Source organism: Homo sapiens, chromosome 1 (genome assembly GCF_000001405.40).
Source record: "Homo sapiens chromosome 1, GRCh38.p14 Primary Assembly".
Taxonomy (NCBI): Eukaryota; Metazoa; Chordata; class Mammalia; order Primates; family Hominidae; genus Homo; species Homo sapiens.
Genome location: NC_000001.11, coordinates 63173018 through 63200563, shown reverse-complemented (window position 1 = coordinate 63200563; position 27546 = coordinate 63173018). Strand labels below are relative to the sequence as shown.

At 38.3% G+C, this 27546-nt stretch overlaps 2 long non-coding RNA genes and 1 pseudogene across 2 annotated transcripts in view, besides 4 other annotated features; 2 read left to right on the top strand and 1 right to left on the bottom strand.

The window, feature by feature from the left end:
• LINC00466 (long intergenic non-protein coding RNA 466) overlaps window positions 1-27546 on the top strand; it is a 158175-nt gene that overhangs the window by 116694 nt on the left and 13935 nt on the right. Inside the window, exons 5-6 of the long non-coding RNA NR_038252.3 lie at window positions 1544-1848; window positions 10040-10124. This is a non-coding gene — a long non-coding RNA (long intergenic non-protein coding RNA 466). The remainder of the gene's footprint in view (window positions 1-1543; window positions 1849-10039; window positions 10125-27546) is intronic.
• Window positions 113-1016: an enhancer, noted in NCBI's record as "VISTA enhancer hs764". NCBI's record gives its function as "enhancer in: neural tube[5/8] | hindbrain (rhombencephalon)[5/8]" and the evidence as "EXISTENCE:transgenic organism evidence [ECO:0001131][PMID:17130149]".
• Window positions 433-934: an enhancer, noted in NCBI's record as "NANOG hESC enhancer chr1:63665301-63665802 (GRCh37/hg19 assembly coordinates)". NCBI's record gives its function as "activates a minimal SCP1, AML or CMV promoter by ChIP-STARR-seq in naive H9 embryonic stem cells {active_cell/tissue: H9 hESC(naive)}" and the evidence as "EXISTENCE:reporter gene assay evidence [ECO:0000049][PMID:30033119]".
• Window positions 1008-1762: an enhancer, noted in NCBI's record as "NANOG-H3K4me1 hESC enhancer chr1:63664473-63665227 (GRCh37/hg19 assembly coordinates)". NCBI's record gives its function as "activates a minimal SCP1, AML or CMV promoter by ChIP-STARR-seq in naive and primed H9 embryonic stem cells {active_cell/tissue: H9 hESC(naive and primed)}" and the evidence as "EXISTENCE:reporter gene assay evidence [ECO:0000049][PMID:30033119]".
• Window positions 1763-2518: an enhancer, noted in NCBI's record as "NANOG-H3K4me1 hESC enhancer chr1:63663717-63664472 (GRCh37/hg19 assembly coordinates)". NCBI's record gives its function as "activates a minimal SCP1, AML or CMV promoter by ChIP-STARR-seq in naive and primed H9 embryonic stem cells {active_cell/tissue: H9 hESC(naive and primed)}" and the evidence as "EXISTENCE:reporter gene assay evidence [ECO:0000049][PMID:30033119]".
• Window positions 1855-27358, bottom strand: LOC105378770 (uncharacterized). Its single transcript, XR_947454.3, has 3 exons — window positions 27254-27358; window positions 4117-4310; window positions 1855-2132 (listed from the first exon to the last, which is right to left on the bottom strand). It is a non-coding gene; the product is annotated as an uncharacterized LOC105378770 (long non-coding RNA).
• On the top strand, window positions 14114-14228 carry RNA5SP49 (RNA, 5S ribosomal pseudogene 49; annotated as a pseudogene).

The window sequence follows — 27546 nt, the reverse complement described above, 5'->3', positions numbered from 1 at the left end:
AGCTAATACATTTTTTTAATGAGATTAAAATAGTAAATCTTCCCTTCATTACATTAAAACACTTCAGGATTTTCAAAAATAAAACTCATTTTTAGAAGTTATTGAACATTTTAAACAGTTTTGTTGCTAACTCTGTGTGTATATATGTGTGTGACAGAGATTGTGGATGTTGTGTGTGTATTAAGTATGAGTAAATCACAGACTGTTGAGTTAGGCAAAACTTATTAATTCATTCTCAACTCATTTAGCCATCAAAATTTTATTTTGTCTTTGTGTCTAACTGAGCATTGAATAAAATCGCAGCTAATTTCAAATTCCCTTTGTCATCATGGTTTTCAGCCAAAAGTCTATAATAAATGGTCAGAAGATGAGCTGAGACTGAATGAATAGTGAGTGGTATTCATCAGCCAAACATAGAGTCCAGATCCAATTATATGTATTCATTAAGTGATAATGATATCATGGTCTTTAACTAGGAAGAAAAGAGTGTAATTGAATAATAACAGTTGTACAATCCCAACGGAACACACTTTCCATCCCAGCCCAGCGACCCTCGGGGATGATGCAGGATTGATGGAATTCTATTACTCTTTGATAGATTTATTATGAAAGGCTGAGTGGACTTGCAGCACCACTTTGTCACTCACACTAATCAGTATCGTAAGGGCCCCGAGCGGGCAGGCTTTTGTATCCCTTTGACAAAGACAAGGTTAGGGGAGGATGACAGACACCCAGACCTTTACAAACCCATACTGCAAGATAAAATGGGCCAGCTGAGCTCTGAGCTGGGACAGAATTTTAATTTGTTTATCAATGGCTCTCACATGTGCAAGACCATAAGGATATTTGTCAGAGGAGTAACACTGAGGCTAAACTCTTTTGTTTGGCAAGTGGAGCTTGGAAAAATATGTATTGAACTGTAAAAAAAACAGGCTAAATGGGGGGAAAAAGGTAAACGTCTTAAGAGAAGGGAAATAACTTACATTACTATAGACGTGATCTGAGCCTAACAGTTTATTGTGATTTTGACTTTTAAAAAATGCTTTTAGTTATTGCTTTTTAAAAAAAGAGGTGTTTTAGGAGCAACAGAACAGTAATGGGATTTTTTTTTCATTTCAAATTCTCTGATTTCTAAAGGAAATCTAAAACCTATGAAGGGATGGGTGGGGTCATTTGTTAATGGGAAGATGGGTGTTAATTTGTTGCTTTTTGTTGTCTGTTACAACGTTGTATAACTTAGCAGCAAAAACAGCGGAATTTGCCAAACATGCTTTTTATATGTAAAAAGTACTTTTTGTAAATGCCAGGAGGGCTCTATCAGTAACAGCTTTTCACATTTAAATGCGGCTTGCTCTCCTGTGTCTGCGGTCAGAGCCCACTGGATTTAGGAAACTAGATAATTTGTTGTGCTACCGATCAGAGCAGGAACTGAGAAGGCAAGACTGGCATCCGCCAGGGCTGCTTAGCACAGTGGTTGCCAGGGTTTATGTTTTGGTTATTGTTGTTGAATGATCCTTATTTGTAATCTCTTTTTCTGCTTGAGATCCCCTTTTATTTTTCAGAATTGTGGCTTGCATTGTAAGAGGAGCCTGTGAATTCAGAGGCAAGTCTGCTGAGGACCGAATGTTCCTGTCCATAAAAACAGAAGTCTGGCCTGGGCTCCTCTCTTGGGTGAATTTGCAATGCCAGATCCTCTCTATCAGTTTGGTTTTGTTTCTTGTATCTCTGGGAAGGCAGGCAGACAGCACGGTCACCTGTGAATGCAGCTACAATTGGCTTAGCTGCCTCACTGATAAATGTGCCCCCAGTAAGCTACAAAGGGATTACCAGCGTTCTCAGCAGCTAAAGGTGAGTTTCAAGAACAGGAAGGATTGCTTCAAACTGTTCTCCTAGCATTTCATTTTAATATTTTGCGTGACAGAGCACAGAGCCGATGGATATGAACACATTTAACTCCAATGACCAATGTGGTGCAGTCTCTGAAAACATGGAGCCCGGTTCTGTGTCTTCTTTTGGATTCCATTTTCTCAATGTTGGACATTCTCCAAAAGGTCAGCCAGGAAAAGTCTCTGGATGCCAGACACCAGGCAGACCAGGCAGGCCAGCAGACTACTGGTGTTCATTCATTCCTCCTAGAGATGGGCACAAAGTAAAGGTTAATTCAGACCACTTGGCAAGTGCTTGCTTGTCCAGTGAAGTTTACAAACCAATTCATGCAGGTTGACCGCAAAACTCCATGTACCTTATTTGGTCTTTCACAATGTAACCCATCCAAACAAAATCAGACCTTGATTGAAGAATAACTATGGTTTACAGAATATTACATTGAAAACAGCAGAGGGTTGGAATTTAAATTATTAACATACTTTTAGGGCATTGTCTAATACATATTATGAAGACATTTACTTTTTTTTAATTGAGAGGAACTAGAAAGCTCATGTATTAGAAGGTACTGTGAAACCTATCTTCAGTAGCTTCTTTTAAATTCAGTTTTGAATCTTCCTGTGTTGAAATGTAAGCTGATCTAAAGTGTAATCTTAGATGGTCTCATCTGAGAGAAATGTTATAGAAAGGAGGTGGTATTTATAATAATAGTAGCTACTGTTTATCGATTGCTCTATGCCAAGTACTTTCTTTACTAGCATTATCTTATTTAATCCTCATAAAACCTGTGAGGCAGGCACTATTATTAGTCACATTTTATAGATAAGGGAAATGAAATTTAGAGAAGTGATATAACTTGGTCAAAGTCACATAGTGAGTAAAGGGCAGAATTAATATTTGGACTCTGGTCAGCTTCCAAAGCCTTTTGTACTTACGGGGGTAAGCAGAAACTTACCGCAGGCACAGCACTGCCTCCTCAAAGTATCTAGCTCTGTTCTGTCACGTGTAGGGTATGTATATAAAATCTTCTGTAAAAAGTCACTCAACTGCTCTGAGCTCAGTTTCCTCATCTTTAAAATAGAGATAATAATACCTCCTAGATAGGTTTATATGTGAAACTTTTATAAAAATAAAACCCTATATACAACCAGTTATTATTACCATGTTGAAAAAAGATGGTTTCAATTGAAGCAAGTAAACACAGTTGCCAAATAAATCTTTTAAAAACATCATTTTCTTAGTGACTTGATCCTTCTTAACACTCTATGGTGGCTCTCTGTTGTCTATCAGAAAAGGTCCAGACGCCTGAGCCTGGAAAGAAGCCTGGCCCACGTTCTATCCATTTACCCTGTGGCCTTACAGAGACAGAACCTTTGCAGAGCCTGCACTGTGCTTTTACTGTTCCCTTTCGTGGTTGGCTGAATATTGGCCTTCCAAAGATGTCTACATCTTAATCCCCAGAACCTAGGGAACCTGTGAATACATCACCTAACATAGGAAAAGGAACTTTGAGGATGTGGTTAAGGATCCTGAGATGGTAAGTTTATCCTAGGTTGTCTGAGTGGGCCCAATAGTAATAATAACAAGGGTCCTTTTAAGAGGGAGGCTGGAGAGTCAGAGGCAGTCGCAGAAGATGAGACTATGGAAGCAAGGAGTTGGAGTGATGGGAGGAAGGGGCCACAAGTCTGGGGATGTGAGTGGCCTCAGAAGCTGAAAGAGGTGAGGAAACAGATTATCCACTGAAGCCTGCAGAATGAACACAGCCCTGCTGATACTTTGATTTTAGGCTTCTAACTTCCAGAACTATCAGAGAATATATGTGTGTTGTTTTAAACCACTCATTTGGTGGTAGTTCATTACAGAAGCAGTGGGAAACAAATGCATTTTTCATGACATGATCGTTCCCAGTGCTGCTCTTGTGCTCAGGCTGTTTCCATCCCCTGAAATATTTTCCTTTCCCTTCCACTTTTCTAATCTTACTTTCATGCTCAAGTCTCACTTAAAACCTACAGCAGGTAAATTATTTACCATAGCACCAACAGACCACTTGACCATACCCTAACATGTGTTGCTCATTTATTCATTGATTTCTCAAATATTTGTTGATTACCTACCAGGTTCTTGGGACATAGCCTTCAAGAAGCCTATGGTCTAAGAAAGGAGGCAACAGGGACTTATTAATACAGCTATGAGAGAGGAGAATGTGGAAAGCTATGTGGAGAGAAACCTGACCTATCTGGGGTGGGCAGGGAAGGCTTCACGAAGGAGATGGTGGTTGGTAGGAGTTTTGAAGCTTCAGATCTCCAATTGTTTCATATTTCCAAAACAATTGGAGAAGAGTAGTAGAGTGGTTAAGAATACGGCTTGAGAATGAGCGCATCTGAATTCAGATCCAAGCTTTGCCACTCCTTGATCTGTTTCTCCCTCTGTAAAATAAGGATGACAGTAATGTTAGTATCTAACTCACAAATTATAATCCGTTTATAGGAATACCATTTACATAATAAACATTAAGTGCTTATTTGTTATTTCAATTTCTCAAGGGCAGCTACTGTTGTATCAGTCTCATTTTGCATTTATATAGTGCTGGACACATAAACTAGCTCATTGAGAGTATATCTACAGATATGTATACATTTTTTTTTTTTTTTGAAATGGAGTCTCGCTCTGTCACCCAGGCTGGAGTGCAGTGGTGCGATCTTGGCTCACTGCAACCTCTGCCTCCTGGGTTCAAGCGATTCTCCTGTCTCAGCCTCCTGAGTAGCCGGAACTACAGGTGCACGCCAGCACGCTTGGCTAATTTTTTTTTTTTTCTTCTATTTTTAGTGGAGATGAGGTTTCACCATATTAGTCGGGCTGGTCTCGAGCTCCTGACGTCAGGTGATCCACCGGCCTCGGCCTGCCAAGGTGCTGGGATTATAGGCTTTTGTATTTTCTGCAGGTTAGCATATTAGCATAATGCTCAGCATATAGCTGGTGCTTTATGAATGCTCACTGACTTGGCGTGGAGCACCAGAAAGTCCTATCTACAGTTGCACATTTGGAAAATGATAATGCTTATTTTCATGCTGTCTTCACTCAACCACCTTCTAGGTATTTGGGTTAGGGCAGTCTTTATTATAACAACAGAGCTCATGCTTAGGGTATTGCATAGAGGCACAGATGGGTTTACCATGAAGCTAAAGGCAGATTTACTGTGAATCTTATAAAATGTAACTCTTTCATGGGCCCCTTCCAAGGCCCTGTACCTAGTTTTGTGTTTGTAGTGTTGTATTCTTTTTTCTCAAAGAGAGCTCCTAGAATTATATAAGCTTCATGTCCCACAAGACCTTGATATCCTCCCACATGTTGGCTAAGCATATGAGCTTTGTAGACAGACTGCCTGGGTACAAAGCCAGTTCTACTAGTTATTAGCTGTGTGATCTTCTCTGTGCCTTAGTTTTCTTAGCTGGAAAATAGGGTTGACAGTAATGCTACCTTCTTCATAGGGTTGTTGAGAGGATCAAACACACTAATCTTAGTAAGCATACTCTAAGTGATAGCAGTTATTATTAATTATGTAGAGCCTTAGGAAGTGTCCAGGGCTTTTAAGGTAAGAGTAGCAGTTATGAGAGAAGGCCAGAGTAGAAGCTTCATGACAGCAGGAATCATTTTGTCTTCTTCACTTCTATCCCCAGAACCTTAAAAAGGTGAATGCATATTGTGCTCTTAACCACTATGCCAGAGGGCTGCACTTATTACATATTATTTTATGGTCTTATAAAATAAGATGTTTTTTCTCCAACTGGATTGTGATAATAGCAACTTACTTTTTTTTTTTTTTTTTTTGAGACAGAGTCTTGCTCTGTCCCCAGGCTGGAGTGCAATGGCGTGATCTTGGCTCATTGCAACCTCTGCCTCCCAGGTTCAGGCAATTCCCCTGCCTCAGCCTCCAGAGTAGCTGGGACTACAGGTGTGCACCACCACGCCTGGCTAATTTTTTGTATTCTAGTAGAGACAGGGTTTCACCATGTTGGCCAGGATGGTCTTGATCTCCTGACCTAGTGATCCGCCCGCCTCAGCCTCCCAAAGTGCTGGGATTACAGGTGTGAGCCACCGTGCCTGGCCAGCAGCTTACTTTTATATAATTCTAAATAGGATTATTATCAGGATTATTCTATACAAGATTATTATTTTATATAATTCTACATAAGATTATTCATTCTTCCAGTAAATATTTATGGCACATGGTAGGTACTCAGTAAGATAGCTTTTAATTAAATCTTGACTAATCTGTCCAAATGCAAAAAATTGAGCCCTAGTCTTTTCTAACTTTTAATTTCTTGGTAAAATCTACATAGGATAAATCTAAGGTAAATTTTGGCATGGTGAGAAATACATTAGCTACACAAATAGACAAATCAACACATCGAAGGCAGAAAGATAGCATCGTCATCCCCATCTTCACAGTTATTGATCATCTACTTTGCATAAGCACTTCTTATCTATGGTACAATGCTGTGGACTCAAAGCAGGGAAGACATAGGATACATGGTAGTATGGTAGAAAGACATTGATTTAGGGGTCAGGGAACCTTGGCTCTGCTCTAGCTTTGTCCTCTGACTACCCTTACAGCTTTGGGCAAATTGTTTAACCTCTCTGAGCCTCACTTTGCTTATCTGTAAAAAAACATTAATAGGCTGGGCCTGGTGGCTCACGCCTGTAATCCCAGCACTTTGGGAGGCCGAGGCGGGCGGATTGCCTGAAGTCAGGAGTTCAAGACCAGCCTGGCTAACATGGTGAAACCTCATCTCAACTAAAAACACAAAAAATAGCTGGGTGTGGTGGCGCACGCCTATAGTCCCAGCTACTGGGGAGGCTGAGGCAGAAGAATTGCTTGAACCCAGGAGGCGGAGGTTGCCGTAAGCCGAGATTGTGCCACTGCACTCCAGCCTGGGTGTCAGAGCAAGACTCTGTCTAAAAAAAAAAAAAACAAAAAGCATTAATATTATCCTCATTAGCTATCTTATAAGATTGTTGTATTAAATGATGCATTTTGTGAAAAAATGCTTTGTAATTTTTGTCTACCTAAGAACTACTGTAGCACTTGGGGTACACATAAATGCTAACTAAATGAATTAATCATAATACATAGAATTTTATAAATAAGTTATGATTATCACAATCTAAGGAGATCAGGCCAAAAAGCATGATAGAGAGTATAAAATAATATGTAATAAGTAAAAAATGTGGCATGGTGGTTAAGAATACAAAATATATTTCTTCAAACATAATATATTCCAATCTGACCATCTCTCACCACCATCCACCAGACTTTGCCTGGACTATTGCAATACGTTTCTAATAGGTCTCTTTGATTCCACTCTTGCCTTCCTACAGTTTATTTTTCACTTCACAGACAGCATAATCTCTCAAAAATGCACATCCTATCACGTTACTCCCTTACTTAAAATCCTCCAATGGCTTTCCATTTTACTGGCAATAAAATCCAAGCTTCTCTCTATGGCCCGCCCAGCCCTCTGTGACCTGGCTCCTGCCTACCTCGCTTCAGCTTTGCCTTTTGCCACATCCTCCTTGTTCACTGTGCTCCAGCTACCTTGGCCTTGCTGTTCTCTGAACAGACCAAGTATTTTCCTGCCTCAGGGCCTTTGCACTTTAGCTTCTTTCTGCCTGTTCTGCTCTTTCCCTACGTACTTGCATGACTCTCTCAACATTTAGATCTCAGCTCAAACGTCGCCTCCACAGATAGGGACTCCCTGGCCATCTGCCTAAGATTGCCTCCCCATAGTCCAATTTGACCACCTTCTGAAAATTATACAATTTGTTTGTTAATTTACTTATTTATTGTAATTGTTGCTTGTCTCCCTTTGATGAATAAAAGCATATGAAAGTCAGGGCATTATTTTCTCTTTATCTCAGCTTCTGTTTTTCTAGTCTTCATCGTAATGTTCTCCCTTTTCTTGCTCCTTTATGATTTTTACTTTACACTTTCTTCATTCCCATTTTCATTTACCACCTTATGGTTTAATTTGTTGTGGAGTTCATAGGGCCCTGAGGTCTTGGTCATTCTAAAAGGGCTGTGTGATTTTATACACAGGATTTCACATTCTGAAGGCCCCTGGCTCATTCAAAAACCCCATTGAAATAACAATTTTTTTTTGGCCAAAATTATACATGCCATACTAATTGGCTCATTCCTATCTTAGAATTCTACGAACACTGCCCATGGCAGACAGTGCTGCTTTGCCATGTAGGGGTTGTGTGTGTGCACTCATTTGGGAATGTGTGTAGGTATTGACGGTATTCTTGGAAGCAGACATGCCTACTCAGAGCACTTCACCTCTCCTCATACCCACATTGCCACATTTCTTTTATCCCAAATAACTAGAATGAAAATGTTTATTTTTATCTTAAATGAAAGAGGCTGCATCTCCTTGGCATAGCTCTCACTAAGTCCTGCCGATTTGCCTGCTTACCACTGATTGGCATGGCTACATCTTGGGTTCTGGGTTCAGCTGTTTTCTCTCTGTCATGGTTCATTTTTCTCCCTAATAGAATACAACATGCAGAAAACTCAGTTTCCTGTTTATATGTATTAAGTTTTTCCAGTGACTATTTAGGTATATCAAGCATCCTCATCTCTTCTCTATGCTCTCATGACTTCCTCTATGCCACACTTAACACATTGCTTTTTCTTGGTTGGTAAGTCATATACCCCTAGCATCTACCCACACTGCCCAGCCCAGAATAGGCTGTCAGTCATGTTTGTCAAATGAATGTTTTGTGTTTATTTTTTATTTTCCTTTTGAGTTTTGATTTCCTTCTGGTTTGGGCATCTACATGTCTATAGGTATAAGCAAGTATAGAGGGGGCATGTGTCACCCGGGCTTTCTGATAGAAGACCCTCCCCATAAGACAGATGTCTCTGACTATGCAGTGGAGCTTGCCCATGTAAACCTCTTGCATTGTTTGGAGTCTCTATCCCTTGCCAAGGATCTAACCACTCACAAGCAGACACATTGCTGTCCAAACAGATGGACAAGGGAGATAGGCAGGCCAAAGCCCATGGATGAACGTGAAATGAATTGGTGCAGAGAAGCCAAGGGTGTTGGAAATGAATGCTAGTCCTTGCTGTGCAGTTTCCAGCATAAGGATGGACCAGCATGGTTGAAGTTTTGACACTGAGCTGCTTGGTAACAAAGGAATAGGTAAAGTAAAAATGAGTTTGCAACGAAGTGGATGCTTTAACAGGTGGGTGAAAGGCCCCAAGAACACGCGTTAGCTCTAAAATTTTCAAGTCAGTTTAGCAGGTGAAGTTTATATCTTCAGCTGGATTTGTTCTGAGAATCCACATCTGGTCCAATCATCCATCAACATTCATTCACTCACTCAACAAATATTTATTGAGCATCTAACACATTCCAGACGCTGGTAGGCACCAGGTGGGATAAAAAAAAAAACTCACATGGTCTCTGCCCCTTAAAAACTTACATTCCATTATTAATTTCATAGTTAGTTATTTAATTAAAGTTATAAGCACTATGAAAGAGTATACAGGAGCTAAGGCAATATGTAATGGGGGGTTCTTAGTGTGGAGCATCTGAAAGGATGTCTCTGAGGAAGTGATATTTAGGTTGAAATGTGAGGTCAAAGCAGAAATGGGATGTTTAGCAAAGAACAAGAGAACATTCTTGGCATAAGGGAATAATATCTATAATGTCTCTTTAAAGTGGCAATTAGCCTATGTTTACACATCTCCTAAGAAGGAAAATTCTCTTCCTCCAGAGGCAACACTTGGATCACTCTGTTCTTAAGATCTTCTTTATTTCCAACCAAAATCTGTCTCTCTGAAGCTTCTGACAATTGGTCTCAAATATATACTTCTTGGGGTCTTGTAAAACAAGCCAAGACCCTCTTCTTGTGACAGTAGTGGGTTTCTTCATTAATTAATGCTCAATTAATGTGTTTTCTTTATCCATTAGGGTCCCACAGAGATTTGCTCAGTATATAGTTGCTTACTTGTGCATTTATGATTCAACATCCATCTATGTCCAGAAAGTATTAGGTCTGTTGAGTAGTAGCTATTAAATATGTGTGAATTAATGGAATCAACAGATGTATGAAATTTACCTTCTTAACAATCTTTCTTATGTAGGAACTGGTGAAGATTTCCCCAGCAAAAAGTAGAAGCTCAGTGTTTCATAGATGAAGACTGGGGAGATTGCAAAAGACCCATCCAGGTACTGATGCGGTCTTCTGGGACCAGGAACCCTACTCATGCCTCAAGCTACCTGTGATGAAAAGTCCATTGTCTGCCACCTGTCTGGTAGATCTGTCCTGAGGATTAATGAGATAATGTCTGGAGAGCCATGTGAAGCCTTTGGAAGGAGATTACAGATAAAAGTCTAGTTCCAGTGAATTAGGCTACTGATAAGAGTACTGAATAACAAAGCTGTGATCAGGCTTTTAAAACGTTATTTTGTTGATATTTGGTTACAGCTACTTTTAGACACTGAACTAGCCAGTGGAACAAGTTCTTTCTGAGGTCCCTGAACTTTAAACAGTCACTCTAGAACAGTCTTTCTCAAAGTCTCAACCCGAGGAGAATTGTCTATATCACCAGTGTGTTTGTTAAAAATATAATTTCCTGGCCTTCAACTTCAGAACTACAAATTTGCAAAACTTCAGGAAGCACCATTTATATGCAATACCATGTGAATGATGCCCCCTGGTGTTGTTCAATGTGGCAGCAGTGCTTACCTCTGACTGAATGGGGAATTCTGACTGTGAGGCCTGGGAATTTACATTTTTAGCAAGCACTTCAGGTACATTAGCATCGAGAACCAATGTCAACATTGAAAAAAGTGTGACTGTCATTTCCTTTGTAAGTTGGAAGGATAGGAGATTGCTGGGGGAGAAGGGAGCACAGCTGAATGATAATGAGCTCTTCACACTTTCACCCTCTCACTGAGTAATAATAAACTAATTAGGAAAATAATAGCTAACATTTATTTTGTAAATTTATTAATGTCAGGCAAGGTGCAAGGCACTTTACAGGCATTATCTCATTTCATCCTTACAATAACTTCATGAGATCAGTGTTAACATTATTATCTCCATTTTGTAAATGAGCAAAATGAAGTTTGGAGAACATAGTTTTGGTATAGGATAAATATTCAATAAATGTTAACTATTATAAGCTTATCTGTGAAAGTACTTTTAAAAATACAAATCCTCTACTTTAGCATTCAGATAAGAATGGCAGCATTTTCTTCTCCACTCCGACTGCTTCACTTGACTAGCCTTAAAAAAAAAACTAACAAAAAGGATGGCAACATTGATGAGAGTAATGATTGGGAAATGGAAACTAGGATAAGCTTGCGTGAGACGTTTGGCATAGTATGAAGGGGATAGGCACCTCAGGAAAGCAGAGTAACAAAGTAATAAGGTGTTGAATTAAAATACTTGCTTTTTAAGGTCAACCTTTTTGTTTCCCCATGAGTAGGGGAGGAAATTTCATTCTTCTATACTGTGTCCAAAACTCAGCAGGTTTCATAGTGTTTGTCTACATAAGATAAATTACTTAGTATAAATAATTTATCTTATGAAGTGAGTTGGTCTATTATTATTCTTCTATCAGAAAATATATTTTAGAAAACTCACAAGTGAACTTGCGCAACACAATCCCTTCATAAATTGTGAACTGTGAGGCCATGTTCTGTAAGGGTCTTCTCTAGCATGCACATTTAACTGGAGGCTAACCACTGGCAAATATTCTAGGGAGAAGAATATTTTAGAGAATTAAGGTTTCATTTACAATTCTATTATGTCAGAGATAACCTATAGTCTATAAAATACAGTCTTCTCTTCCTGGATCAGAGCTTGACTATGTTTTCTGGCTTCTTTTGAAGTTAGACGTGGTTTTGTGATGTGGAATGTGAGTGGAGGTGCTCTGTAACACTTTCAAGTCTGGCCCTTAAAACCTTCTAGTTATGATCCTCATACCCTTTCCTCTTTCTGACTGACTGGAATAGTGATGCCCAGGGTAACCTTGGAAGCTGTGTGTTGAAGATGGCAAAGCTGTTATCAGCTGAGTAGTTGAATGACCATGTAGAGCAGAGCTACCCCTGACCTGAATCCCTTCACTGGACTGTTACGTGAGAAAGGATAAACTTTCTTTAAAAAGTCCCCTCATTCTAGCAAATACATCCATGGTGAACATTAATTTTTTTTCCCCATGGGTATGTGGTCTGTTTACTCTTTGAATATTAATATTCAATTGGTTAACTCTATGCTATTGTTTGTAGATACTATTACTTAAAAGATCTCCAGTTTAACCTATGGAGACTCCTATTAAGAACACATGATTAACCTTAAAAAAAGGAATATATGAGCAAATAAAGGTTGATATTCCTTTCGGCAATTTCAATACAGGCAATATTCAACTTGAAATCAATGCCATTGCCTCAGGATCATGTTTAATGTAAAAAAAAAGAACCAAATTAATTGTAAATACGTTTTCAGTTTGTGATTGTTGTTTGTGGTTATGCCTTACTCACTTTTCCATTAACAACATAATTAACTACTAAATGCCAGGTTAGGGGCTGAAGAAATACCAGAGAATATGGAGTGTATTCAAGAGAATGTTTTTGTCAACAATTAGTAAAGATCTTTATACCAGATAATGGAGATTAAATATGAATAAGAAAGTCTCCTAAGAAGTAGAGGAACACATGAATGACTTTATAAATTGCTCACTTCTAAAGAAGGGGGGTTCCTTGTTTTTTAATTAGCATCGACTATTTGGCAATCTAGTAGGTTTGTAGTAGCTATTCAGGTGCTGACAAGATTATGAATTCAGAAGAGCAGGGATTTTGGTCTTGTTCATTACTCAATAATATTTGTTGAATATTAAATGATGTAAGAGACTATAACAGGTCATCTACCTCACTCACCGTCTGACACTTGTACTCCCTTTGGAGCATCCTTACCCTCTGGTAGTTCATTGTGTTTGAATATTTCCAGAGAAGGAAGCATCTTTGCCTCCTGAGGCAAATGCAACTTTGAACAGATCTAATGTTAAAAAGTTCTTCTTTATAAAGAAACGGGTTAATTTTTTTCTTTTTCTTTTTTTTTTTTTTTTTTTTTTTTTTTTTTGGTATTTTTAGTAGAGACAGGGTTTCACCATGTTGGTAAGGCTAGTCTTGGAACTCCTGACCTCATGATCCACCCGCTTCGGCCTCCCAAAGTGCTGGGATTAAAGGTGTGAGCTACCACGCCCGGCCCTGATTTTTTAAAGATTTTTGTAGAGATGAGGGGTATCACTATGTTGGCTCAGGCTGGTCTTGAGCTCCTAGGCTCAAGCAATCCTCCCACCTCAGTCTTCCAAAGTGCTGGGATTACAGAAATGAGTCACTGCACCCAGCTCTTTTGCTTTTATTAAAAATGTTTTTATATTACTGAAGAGTGCATACACTTTATAGTTCATTTGGAAAATGTGGAAAGTTTCAGAGAAGAAGATATACATGATCTATAACTCCAATGTTTAGAGAAAACTCCACTTAACATTTTGATATAGTTCCTTCTAGTCTTTAAAAAAAAAATTTTTTTTTTTAAATTGGCCCCTGAAAATCCATCTCCTCTTTTTTTCTTGGATGTGTTTTTTACTTTAACAAAACAAGAATCATACTGTATGTGTTTTGTTGTATCTCACTTTTTAAAAAAATAATAACATCTTTAGTATGTTACTGAATATACTGTATTATATTTATATTACATGAAAGTCTCATAATTTATTATACCTTTCTACTGTTTTTGGATGTTTGGGTTCATTCTAACAATTATTAGCTAGTATAAATAATGCTGTCATAAAGGTCTTTCTTTCTTTCTTTCTTTCTTTCTTTCTTTCTTTCTTTCTTTCTTTCTTTCTTTCTTTCTTTTTTTGAGACTGAATCTCACTCTATTGCCCAGGCTGGAGTGCGGTGGCGCAATCTCGGCTCACTGCAACCTCCACCTCCTGGGTTCAAGCGATTTTCCTGCTTCAGCCTCCCGAGTAGCTGGGATTACAGGAGCGCATCCCGCCCAGCTAATTTTTGTATTTTTAGTAGAGACGGGGTTTCACCATGTTGGCCAGGCTGGTCTTGAACACCTGACCTCAAGTGATCTGCCCTCCTCAGCCTCCCAAAGTGCTGGGATTACAGGCATGAGCCACCACGTCAGGCCCATAAAGGTCTTTATAAGTAAATCTTTTCTCTTGATCTCATCTGATCTTGGAGATGAGGCAGAGTTAAGCCTGGTTAGTACTTGAATGGGAGAACATCTGGGAATTTCAGGTGCTACAGGCTTTAAAATATATAAAATAAAATAAAATAAAATAAAAATAAAATAAAATATTTTCTGAGACTGAATATTTTCTTAAGGTAAATTTCTAAAATTGAAATTATTGGCTAAACAATCTGAAGTTTTTGTTTGCTTCTATTTTTTACTATGAAAATTTTAAAAGAACAGAAAAGTAGAAAGAACTCAACTTCCAATTTTTAATAACCTAAGTTTTATAGTTTTTAATATTTTGCTATATTTACTTCATTTATTTTTAATACTAGTTTTAAAATTTAAAAAATCAGTTTAAGAAAACTAGTCTTAAAATCTCGAAGTGGTAAGGACTTTAAAAGGACTGTTTAAAAGTCATAATCATATTATAATGTTCACACACAGTAAAACAAATAATAATTCTTTAAAATCATGTCTAATTTTTCCTAATTGTCTCAAAACATCTTTTTAAAAAAGTTGAAACAGGATTAAATAAGACCCACACATTTATTTCGTTGTTATAACTCTTAAGCTTCCTTTAACCTTTAGTACTTTCCTTTTCTTTTTTTCTCTCTCAAGTCATTTATTTGTTGAAAAAAATGGAGAATTGATTGCATAGAATTTCCCACACTCTAGTTTTGTTTGGTTGTGTTCTCATAGAATTATTTAATACATTATCCTATCCATTGTATTTTTTGTAACTTTACAGCAGTGGTTCTCAGACCTCAGTGTGCATCAGAATCACCTGGAAGGCTTGTGAAAACACGTATTGCTGGGCCACACCCCCAGAATTTCTGGATCAGTAAAGCTGGGTGAGTGCGAGAATTTGCATTTCTAACATATTTCCAGGTGATGCTTTTGCAAACGGTCCAAAGACCACACTTTAAGAATTACCACTTTAGAGAAAAAATTAGATCCCTTTAAAAGAATGGTTAGATTTATAATTTTTAAAATTACATATATATGACATATAAGATGGGATTCAAAGCATGCTGCCCCCAAATAAGGCATCCTGGCATTTAAGGAAACATCAGAAACAGGAAGGTCACTCTGACCTTATGCCGTCCTTCTCCTCTGAAGCAGGTTGTAAAACTCTCATTGGAGAAGTACTCTCCCTATACCTGGAGGAGAGGGGCATCTTTATCTCTGAAGACACAAGGACACAGAGAAGAATCTGAATAGATAGGCCTTTCTAAGTTCCCCCTAGTTTATCACCATTAGGTCATACCCGCTTTGTGCAATCATACTTCTCCACAGCTATACACTTCTTCATCAAACTTAGCACAAAATGGCACAGGTTTCCTTGTTTCTTTGGGTCTTCATTTTTGAAGGCTTCTGCATCATGTAAAACTTATATATGTATGCTGTTCTGTTGTTAATCTGTCATTTGTTACGGGTGACTCAGCCATAACCAGCGAGGTGTAAGATATCTTTTCTCCCATACAATATGTTTGAAGTATTTTCTTAAGAAAATATGGGCCGGGCGTGGTGGCTGATGCCTGTAATCCCAGCATTTTAAGAGGCCAAAGCAGGCAGAGCACGAGGTCAAGAGATCGAGATCATCCTGGCCAACATAGTGAAACCCCATCTCTACTAAAAATACAAAAATTAGCTGGGTGTGGTGGCACACCTGTATGTATTCCCAACTACTTGGGAGGCTGAGGCAGGAGAATCGCTTGAACTCGGGAGGTGGAGGTTACAGTGAGCTGAGATCATGCCACTGCACTCCAGCCTGGTGACAGAGTAAGACTCCGTCTCAAAAAAAAAAAAAGAAAAGAAAATATGTATTGGTTTTGCTATGAGGATTCTTTCCTCTTTTTATATTTCAATTTTTTATTTTGAAAAATTTCAGTTTTACAGGAAAGTTGAAAGATGTTGGAAATTTTTAAAGGCTTTGCTTTCTAGAAAGGTACTAATGTATCAGTGAATGAGTTTGCTCATTTTACCATATCCTGTCCCAAAGTGAGTATTAACATTTAGACAAAACTTGATCTATCTGATGGGTTAAAAAAAAAAAGATTTCTTAATTCAAAATTATTTGGTTACTGGCAAGGTTGAGAGTACTTCTAGTACTTTATTAGCTATTTCTTACCTTTGATTCTATTAATTTTTCATTTTCTTTATTCATTTTTCTTTTTTTGTTTGTTTTTTTTTTTTTTTTTTTTTGAGATGGAGTCTCACTGTGTCACCCAGGCTGGAGTGTAGTGACGCAATCTCAGCTCACTGCAACCTCCGCCTCCCGGGTTCAAGTGATTCTTCTGTCTCAGCCTCCTGAGCAGCTGGGACTACAAGTGCACGCCACCATGCCCAGCCAATTATTGTATTTTTTAGTAGAGACAGGGTTTCACCATATTGGACAGGCTGGTCTCGAACTCCTGACCTCGTGATCTGCCCACCTTGGCCTCCCAAAGTGCTGGGATTACAGGCGTGAGCCACCGTGCCCGGCCTATTTATTTTTCTAATAGATCTTTAGTTTTTTCCATTATCAATATCTATGCATTCATCACATATGAAAGATAATTATTCTTTCTCATATTTGTAACATATTTTTCCAGTTTATTCATTTATTTTTTCCAGATTCCTTTTTAAGCCATAAAAAATTAAATTACAACATGTTTGTGTCATCAAATATTTTGATCTATTATTTGGAATTTTTACCATTACTTTGGATAGTCCTTCCCAATCTGAGACAGATAACTAATAACTTATATTTTCTTCTAGTTTTTATCTGTTTGTTTTTGTTATAGTTAACTAAAGTATTCAAACGAAATTTATTTGTGTGTTCTACAAGGATTCTTACTTTGAGTAGCCAACTTGCAGAATACAATAGAATTTTGGGAGGAGCCCCTCGATGCCTGGCTTTACTGTTGGAGAGACAGTACAGTATACACCAGATGACTTATTTGTGAACCATGGAAACGTTTGGAAAAGGTAAAGCAGACAATACACTGAAGAATCATTTGTCACAAGTAATTGCGGGCAGTCAAAAAGAGCTGGGAGAGTATATGAATCATGATGTAAGAACTGTGAAGGGCAGGTATTTGAGTCCAGTCAGCGGCTATTATTGAACAGGATGGTACTCAAATGAGATACAAATTTTATGCCAAGAGGGGCAAGTCTACAGAACAAATCATTCTGGTTTGTGCCCCAGCTTCTGTAAAATAGGAAATTTTTTCATCAATTTTTGCTCTCTCATTTAAAAAAATTAACTATAGTCCATAGTTCATTAGCGTTTCTTTAATTTTTTAAATTTATTTTTAAATTGACAAAAATTGTGTATATTTATTGTATACATGTTGTTTTGAAATATGTATACTATATGTGAAATGTCTAAGTTGAACTAATTAATGTGCATTACTTCACATTTATCCTTTTTGTAATGAGAACATTACAAAAGTCTATTATTTTAGCAATTCTCAAGAATATAATACATTGTTATTAACTATAGTCACCATGTTGCACAATAGATCTCTTTATTTCTCCCATCTAATTGAAATTTTGTATCCTTTGTATCCTTTGCCCACATCTCCCCAGTCCTTCATGCCCTGAGCCCCTCTAACCACCATTTTACTCTCTATTTTTATGAATTCAACTTTTTTATACTCCACTTATAAATGAGATCATGCAGTGTTCATCTTTCCATGCCTAGTTTATTTCACTTACCATAATGTCCCCCAGGTTCATCCACTTATTCCAAATGACAGGAGTTTCTTCTTTTTAAAGGGTGGATAGTATTCCATTGTGTGTGTATATACTATTGTATTCCATTCCAATATGCTTCTCTCTCACTCTCTCTCTTCCTCTTCCTCTCCCTCTCTCTCTATATATATGTGTATATACCCATATATGTATACATATATATGGGTACATATGGGTATATGGGTATATGGGTATATATGGGTACCCATATATGTATATATGTACATATATATGGGTACCCACATATGTACATATATATGGGTACCCACATATGTATACATATATGGGTATATACACATGTGTACATATATGGGTATACACACATATGTGTATATATGTGTATATACATACTGGACGCTTAGGTTGATTCTACCTATATGTATATGTATATACATATACGTATACGTATGCATATACGTATACATATATGACATATACATATACATACAAGGCCAAAGAAGCATCCAGTATGTATATATACATACATAGTATGTATGTATGTAGGTCGATTTTACCTCTTAGCTATTGTGAATAATGCCGCAATGAACATGAGAGTGCAGTTATCTCTTTGACATACTGATTTCATATTCTTTGGATGTATACCCAGTAGTGGGATTTCTAAATCATGCTAGTTCTTTTTTAAATTTTTGGAGCAACCTCCATATTGTTTTTCATAATGGCTGTACTAGTTTCTATTTCCACCAGCAATGTGCAAGGATTCCTTCTTTTCCACATCCTCTCCAACCCTTGTCTTTTGCCTTTTTGATAATTGCTGCTGTAACAGGTGTGTGGTGATATCTCATTGTGGTTTTATTTTGCATTTCTCTGATGATTAATGATGTGGAGCATTTTTTAATATACCTCTTGTCCATTGCATGTCTTTTTTACAGAAATGTCTGTTCAGATCCTCGGCCCATTTTAAAATTGGATTATCTGTTCTCTTACTATTGAGTTGTTTGAGTTTCTTATATATTTTAGATATTAAACCCTTATCAGATGCCTGGCTCTCTAATCTTTTGCATCCTTTTCATTCCGTTTTTTTCTCCTTGTCTTTTGGTCACAGTAAATCATAGTATCTATAGGTATGAAAAGTTTGGCTTGTGCAATTATGTGTGCTACTGGGGATGTGAAACAAAGCTGAACCATGGCACCCCAAACCTGCCCTTATTGGGGTTCGGTGTGACTTGATAAACCTGCATAGATGTCAAACATCCAAAGTCTTCATTTCTAATTGAGAAATAAAAAATCATCTTCAGTTAATAAGAGCGTTTTAATTATGTGTGGCTCCTAAGAAAAATGTTGAAAGATTTCCTTTCTCCCAAGATCTTTGCCTTGCACTCTAGGGAAATAGCATCTACACTTTTGTTAATACTGGGCATTGTAAAAACCACTTAGCATCTTGCTATATCTGACTGCATCAACACCCCCAGTTCCCCCAAAAATATTGAGTCAGCCAAAGGAGAGAAATAATAATTCATTAAACAACTACTGTGAGGCAACTCCCAAATATATTTTACCTTATTTAATTGTTAGTAGTTTCTACAATGTAGCTATTATCATTCCCATTTTACTGATGAGGAAATCAATTGAGTACCCTGTACCCCAAAGTCACAGGGCCATTTACATGCTTGAACTGGAATTCAATCAGAGATCCGTACATGGCTGAAAAATGCACTTCCCCTTCACTCCACTCATGTTTAAAGCCCCTCTCTCTATAGCCAAACATCAAAATTCCACAAGAACCTGACAGAAAAGGGGAAATAGGCCAGGGTGAACTGCAAAGCTCATGTCTTGCTCAAAGAGGAGAGCTACTAATCAGTTTCAGCCATTGCTCCTTCTGTTGCCATTCAGAAATGCAGGTCCAGTGTTTCTTGATCTGACTTTTCAAAGGAAGGTGAGAGCCTGCATTTTGATGTGAAATCTGTCAATGTTTAAATGCTGCCAATCAATTACAAATTGTTTTAATTGTGTGGGCCAAATAAAATATATTTGTTGGTTGTATTTAGTCCTTGCCTTATACTTCAACTAACTACAGACTTTCAGATATGACAAGGAATTAATTAGAACAGTACTATTCAATAGAAATGTAATGCCATCCACATATATAATTTTAAATTTTCTAGTAGCCACATTAAAAAGTTTAAAAAAGGGTAAAATTAATTTTAATAATATGTTGTATTTATCCCAATATATCCAAAATGTTATTATTTTAACATACAATAAATATAAAGATTATTAATGAGATATATCACTTACAGAACATCTCAATTTTTCCTAGCAATATTTCTAGTGCTCCATAGTCACATTTGGCTGGTAGCTACCATATGGAGCAGCATAGGTTTGGAAGCTGTAAATATCTCCCAGGTGGAACCTGTTTATTCAGAAATTTCATCTTCACCAGGAAACCATGCCCTACTCTAGTTGGTCTTAGAATTTGTCAAAAGCCTCATTTTTCCTTAGGTAAATGAAAGGAATTTCCCATTCTTTTTTTTTTTTCTGAGACGGAGTCTCGCTCTTTTGCCCAGGCTGGACTGCAGTGGTGTGATCTCGGCTCACTGCAAGCTCCGCCTCCTGGGTTCACATCATTCTCCTGCCTCAGCCTCCCGAGTAGCTGGGACTACAGGCGCCCGCCACCACACCCGGCTATTTTTGTTGTTGTTGTTGTTGTTGTATTTTTAGTAGAGACGGGGTTTCATCATGTTAGCCAGGATGGTCTCGATCTCCTGACCTCGTGATCCACCCGCCTCGGCCTCCCAAAGTGCTGGGAATACAGGCGTGAACCACCGCTACCGGCCGGGAATTTCCCATTCTTTTAGCTATGACAGAATTCAGTTTGTTAGGATAAATTGATGATTAAATTTACTTTAGTATCTTAGAGACTTTGCATCGAATACTTCTTTAAACTTCTTTAACAAACATGAATTTGTTCGATAAATGTCAAGTAAACAAAAGAGTAAAGAATGTCAGCTTTACAAAAATGATGATTAATGTTCTGAAGTGTAGTACCTAAGTGTTTGTAAATTCAACTCAATGAGTAGTTTATTAGAATTTCCTATCTGTTGCTGTGATGCAGTAATTTCATTTAAGGAACAGCTGGATATAAAACTTACAGGGGTTTCGAATGCGGTGCAATGTGGAGATTAAAAATGATATTCTTAGAGAACTCCAAATATAGAGTTGGATATTTCTAATGGATATGGTATATAACAGGTGTCTTAGCTTGGGCCACCATAACAAAACATCACAGACTGGGCAGCTTAAACAACAGAAATTTATTTTCTCACAGTTGTGGAGTCTGGGAAATCCAAGATCAAGGTACCAGCAGATTTGGCGTCTGGCTAGGGGCTCGTTTCCTGGCTTGCAGTTGGCCACCTCTTTATTGTGTCCTCGCATGGTGGAGAGAGAGTAAGCTCTTTGGTCTCTCTCTCTCTCTCTTTTTTTTTTTTTCTTAGAGATGGGGTCTTGCTTTGTCTCCCAAGCGGGAATGAAGTGACATGATCATAGCTCACTGCAGCCTTGAACTCCTGGGCTCAAGGGATCCTTCCTGCCTCATGCTCCTGCGTAGCTGAGGCTATAGGTGCTAGTGTCTCTTCTTCTCCTTCTTTTTTTTTTTTTAAAGAGGTTGTGTACACTGTACCCAATGTGTACCTAACGGAGTACACTGTACCCAGTGTGCAGTCTTTTATCCCTCAGCCCTCCCACCTTTTCCCCTAAGTCCCCAAACTCCATTGTATCATTCCTATGCCTTTGCATCCTCATAGCTTAGCTCCCACTTATGTGTAAGAGTATATGATGTTTGGTTTCCTATTCCTGAGTTACTTCACTTAGAATGATAGTCTCCAATTCCATACATGTTGCTGCAAATGCCATTATTTTGTTTCTTTTTATGACTGAGTAATATTCCATTGTGTGTGTGTATAGATATAGATATAGATATAGATATAGATATAGATATAGATATATCTCACATTTTCTTTATCCACTCCATTGATGGGCATTTGGGCTGGTTCCATATTTTTGCAATTGTTTAAGTAACTAATTTTATTGCATCAGAGACATATCCTTATGAATTTAACCTTAATAATTTCCATCAGGGCCCAATTTCCCAATTAGCCACATTGGAGGTTGGGGCTTCAATATATGGATATCGAGGGGGCAAAATTCTGTCCACAGGAACAATTTTCAGGGACAGAATAAGAGTTTTATTTTCTTTTCTCATGTTTATTTTGGACCTTTTCATTTCACATCAGAATCAAGCAGTGTGAAAGACAAAAGGGACCACAGTGGGCATCTAAAATCCACAGGTCCTCAGTTATTTAATTAGTGGTTGAAGTAAGTCAAGTAGCTAGGACTCTTGAATTCCTTTGTAGTATTCTTTCTATTATGTTGTTCATTCATTCATTGACTTACTCTATAAAAATTGAGCACCTACCATGTACTGTATTCTCAGGGAAAGGAAGACTCAGATCTAGCTTTCAAGGAAAGTATCCCAGGTCTCTTCTATCCCAGCACTAGTCTCATTAGAAAATATATTAGGCCATATCTAGTATATACATACATATATATATATATGTTTGTTTGTTTTGTTTTGAGACAGAGTTTCGCTCTTGTTGCCCAGGGTGGAGCGCAATGGCGTGATCTTGGCTCACCACAACCCCGCCTCCCGGGTTCAAGAGATTCTCCTGCCTCAGCCTCCCGAGTAGCTGGGATTACAGGCATGCGCCACCACGCCTGGCTAATTTTGTATTTTTAGTAGAGATGGGGTTTCTCCATGTTGGTGAGGCTGGTCTTGAACCCCGACCTCAGGTGATCCGCCCGCCTCAGCCTCCCAAAAGCACTGGGATTACAAGTGTGAGCCATGGTGCCGTGCCCTAGTCTTAATATTAATAATAATAGTGATTAGTCCTTAAGCCCCCAAAATATACCAAGCTGTGCCAAGCACTCCATGTACGTTATCGGTTTTGATCCTTACGGCAAGTTTGTGAATATTAATTATATACTTGTTTTATAGATGAGGAAAAGTAGCTTAACAAAGATCATCTTAGAAATTAGCTGTGCTGACTAATTCAGACCTGACTGCAATGCCCAGGTGTTTCCAGGTGTAATGGAAATTCTTTCTTTCTTTCTTTTTGTTTCTTTCTTTCTCTCTTTCTCCTTCCTTCCTTCCTCTCTCCCTTCCTTCCTTCCTTTCTTTCTTTCTTTTTCTTTTTCTTTCTCTTTCTTTCTTTCTTTCTTTCTTTCTTTCTTTCTTTCTTTCTTTCTTTCTTTCTTTCTTTCTTTCTTTCTTTCTTTCTTTCTTTCTTTCTTTCTTCTTGGAGTCTTGCTATGTCACCCAGGCTGTCTTGAACTCCTGATCTCAAATGACCCTCTCACCTTGGCCTCCTAAAGTCCTGGGATTACAGGCATGAACCACTGCACCTTGCCAAAACATTTTCTTTGGGACTTATAAACATATTTTATGAATATTGTCAGCTTTTTGAGACTATACGTTATGTAGCACACAGAGTCAACATTTTTAAGTTCAAGTTAAATTAGTCTAGCTCTAGAGATGAGAGAAAAGAGCCTGTGTGCATACTAACACGGAGAAGAAAGTTTGCCTGTGTAGTGGAGAAAAGATTTCTTTCCTTACCCATTGCTAGGTTCATGGTGGAGACCCCTATAGCAAAAGACAGATTAACAAGAAAAAAAAGCAAACGTACAGACTTATTTAATACAGGCATACTTTATTATATTGCACTTCACAGATACTGCGTTTTAAAAAAATTAGTTTGTGTCAACCCTATTTTTTTTTTCCAATAGCATGTGTTCACTTCATGTCTCTATATCACATTTTGGTAATTCTCACAGTATTTCAAACATTTTCATCATGATTATATCTATTATAGTGATCTGTGATCAGTAGTCTTTGATGTTACTATCATAATTATTTTGGTGTCCATGAACAGCACCCATATAAGACAGTGAAGTTATTCAAGAAATATTGTGTGTGTTCTGACTGCTCCACTAACTAGCTATTCTCCCATCTCTCTGTCTCCTTGGGTCTCCTTATTTCCTGACACACAACAATATTGAAATTAGGCCAATTAATAACCCTACAGCGGCTTCTAAGCATTCAAGATAAGTCAAGTTAAGTCAAAAGTTAGAAATGGTTAAGCTTAGTGACGAAGGCATGTCAAAAGCCAAAATAGGCCAAAAGCTAGGTCTTTTGAGTCAAACAGTTAGCCAAGTTGTGAATTTAAAGGAAAAGTTCTTCAAAGAAATTAAAAGTGCTATTCCAGTGAACACAAGAATGGTAAGAAAGCAAAACAGCCAAAGCAGGCTTATTGTTGATATGCAGAAAAATTGAGTGGTTTGGATAGAAGATCAAACCAGCCACAACCTTCCCTTGAGCCAAAGCCTAATCCAAAGCAAAGCCCTGATTCTTTTCCATTCTATGAAGGCTGAGAGAGGTGAAGAAGCTACAGAAGGAAAGTTGGAAGTTAGCAGAGATTGGTTAATGAGGCTTAAGGAAAGAAGCCATATCCATAATATAAAAATGCAAGATGAAGCAGCAAATGATGATGTAGAAGCTGCAGCAAGTTATCCAGGAGATCTAGCTAAGATAATCGATGAAGGTGGCTACACTAAACAACAGATTTTCAACGTAGATGAAACAGCCTTCTATTAGAAGATGTCATCTAGGACTTTCATAGAGAAAAATCAATACCTGGCTTCAGAGTTTCAAAGGACAGGCTGACTCTCTTGTTAGGGGCTAATGTAGCTGGTGACCTTAAGTTGAAGCCAATGCTCATTTACCATTCCAAAGATCCTAAGGCCCTTAAGAATTATGCTAAATCTACTCTGCCTGTGCTCTTAGAAATGGAACAATAAATCCTGGATAACAGCACATCAGTTTATGGTGTGGTTTACTGAATATTTTAAGCCCCCTGTTGAGACCTACTGCTCAGAAACAAAGATTCCTTTCAAAAGATTACTGCTCATTGACAATGCACCTGGTCACCCAAGAGCTTGGATGGAGATGTACTAGGAGATAAATGTGTTCATGCCTGCTAACACAACATCCATTCTGCAGCCTATCAATCATGTAGTGATTTCCAACCTTCAAGTCTTGTGATTTCAGAAACACATTTCATAAGGTTATAGCTACCATGGATAGTGAATCATGTGATGATCTGGGCAAAGTAAACTGAAAACCTTCAGGAAATAATTCACCATTCTAGATGCCATGAGAACATTTGTGATTCATGAAAGGAGGTCAAAATATCAACATTAATAAGAGTTTGGAAGAAGTTGATTCTAACCCTCATGGATGACTTAGAGGGGTTCAAGACTTTGGTGGAGGAAGGAACTGAAGATGTAGAAATAGCAAGAGAAGTAGAATTAGAAGTGGAGCCTGAAGGTATGACTGAATTGCTGCAATCTCATGATAAAATTTGAATGAACTACGAGTTGCTTCTTATGGATGAGCAAAGAAAGTGGTTTCTGAGATGGAATGGAGTCTATTTCTTGTGAAGATGCTGTGAAAATTGTTGAAAGGGCAACAAAGGATTTAGAATATTCCATAAACTTAGTTGATAGAGCAGCAACAGGTCTTGAGAGGATTAACTCCAATTTTAAAAGAAGTTCTACTGCAGATAAAATGCTATCAACAGTATCACATGCTACAGAGAAATCTTTCCTGAAAGAAGAGTTGAATGATGAGGCAAACTTCACTGTAGTCTTATTTTAAGAAATTGCCACAACCACCTCAGCCTTCAGCAACCACTACCCTGATCAGTTAGCAGCCATCAACATCAAGACAAGACCCTCCACAGCAGAAAGACGATGACTTGCTGAAGGCTTATATGATCATTAGTATTTTTTAGCAATAAAGTATTTTCAAATGAAGGTATGTTGTACATTTTTTTAGACATAATGTTATAGCATACTTAATAGATTACAGTATAGTGTAAACATAACTTTTATATGCACTGGGAAACCAAAAAATCTTGTGACTCTCTATAGTGACACTTGCTTTGTTGCAGGGATCTGGAACCAAACCCACACTATCTCCGAGGCATGCCTGTATAAGTTTTATGTGACATGGCTGCTTTCAGAAATGAAGACCCAAAGAAACTGGGAAAACTGTATTTTTATGGACAGCCATGCAGTATGATTGGAGGACAAAGACTATGATATAATTGTAATAAACTGGGGGAACTTAGCAAGGCTCATTTGTTCAGATTCTTCTCTGTGTCTCCATATCTTCAGCGATAAGAGCATTCCTTTCCTCTGGGTATAGCGAGGATACCTTTGGAGTGAGGTCCTTGTGTCCTACTTTTTTTTCTTTTTTTTTTTTTTTTTGGAAATGGAGTCTCGCTCTGTCACCCAGGCTGGAGTGCAGTGGCACTATCTTGGCTCACTGCAACCTCTGCCTCCCAGGTTCAAGCTATTCTCCTGCCTCAGTCTCCTAAGTAGCTGGGGTTACAGATGCACGCCACCACGCCCTGCTGATTTTTGTGTTTTTAGTAGAGGCGGGGTTTCACCACGTTGGCTAGGCTGGTCGAGAACTCCTGACCCCAAATGATCTGTCCGCCTTGGCCTCCCAAAGTGCTGGGATTACACGCATGAGCCACTGTGCCTGGCCCTTGTGTCTTACTTTAAAGGAAAGTCACATAATTCTTTCATGGCCTGTTTCATGGGAGAAAGGTGGGAGAAGAGGAGAGTGACCCTCCTGCTTCTGCTGTTTTCTCAAATACCAAAGTGCCATATTTGGGGTGGTGTGTCCTGAACGCCATCACCTGTTTTGAAGATTAGGAAACCTAGTGTGAGAAAGTCATGCATTTTTCATAGATCAATCAAATAGGAGGTGGTAGAACCAGTATTTGAATCCCTACCTGCTGACTTGACTGTTCTGGCTACCCTGAAAACAATTACTGAGGTTGAGGCAAGGCTGTGTTTTTCATATTCTTTCTTCCTGAAATCTCTTTTAAAGGTTTTATAAACTTCTCCCCTCAACAAACAAGGGACTGGAGTTGAGCCAGGGGAAACTATAATCAATTAGTTTAGAATAAAATAGGCCTACTGAATCCAGGACTTCATCCAAAGAGACAGGGCAGGGGATGACAACTAAGCTGGAAGCAGAGAGCCTATATCAAGTCAACCACCTGGAGTGAGATTCTGGAGGGGGAAATATGAGACTTGCCTGGAGAGATTTCTGGAGACAGCCAGGCCCTTTTATAGGCACTTTGTGGCTTTCACTAAGAGTGAGGAGGGAGCATTTAAGGTTCCTAAGTCAGACTGGACTCCGGTTACCCTTATCACCATTTCATTTGGTTAACACCTACCCCCTTAGGGGGCCTGTGTTGAAGTCCACACTTACCACATTCTCTGTAGAGTTCTGCTTGATTCTCTGTAACATATGCTTTTCATGGTGTTTAATTGGGGTCTAAATCATTCATCTTTTAGGTGGTTGATAATGCTGGTATGTGGCATTAATGAGGGAGTATTTTTCCATTGATCATTGTGACTCTGTTGTGGGCATTTGTGAAAATTCCAGAGCTTATATATGACGTTTTCAGAGAGCTTTCTTCATTCAGTGAGAGTTTACCAGGGGTTGGAGGGAAACATCAGTGAGGAAAACAGTTGATGATCCCTGCCACCATAGAGCTTGCT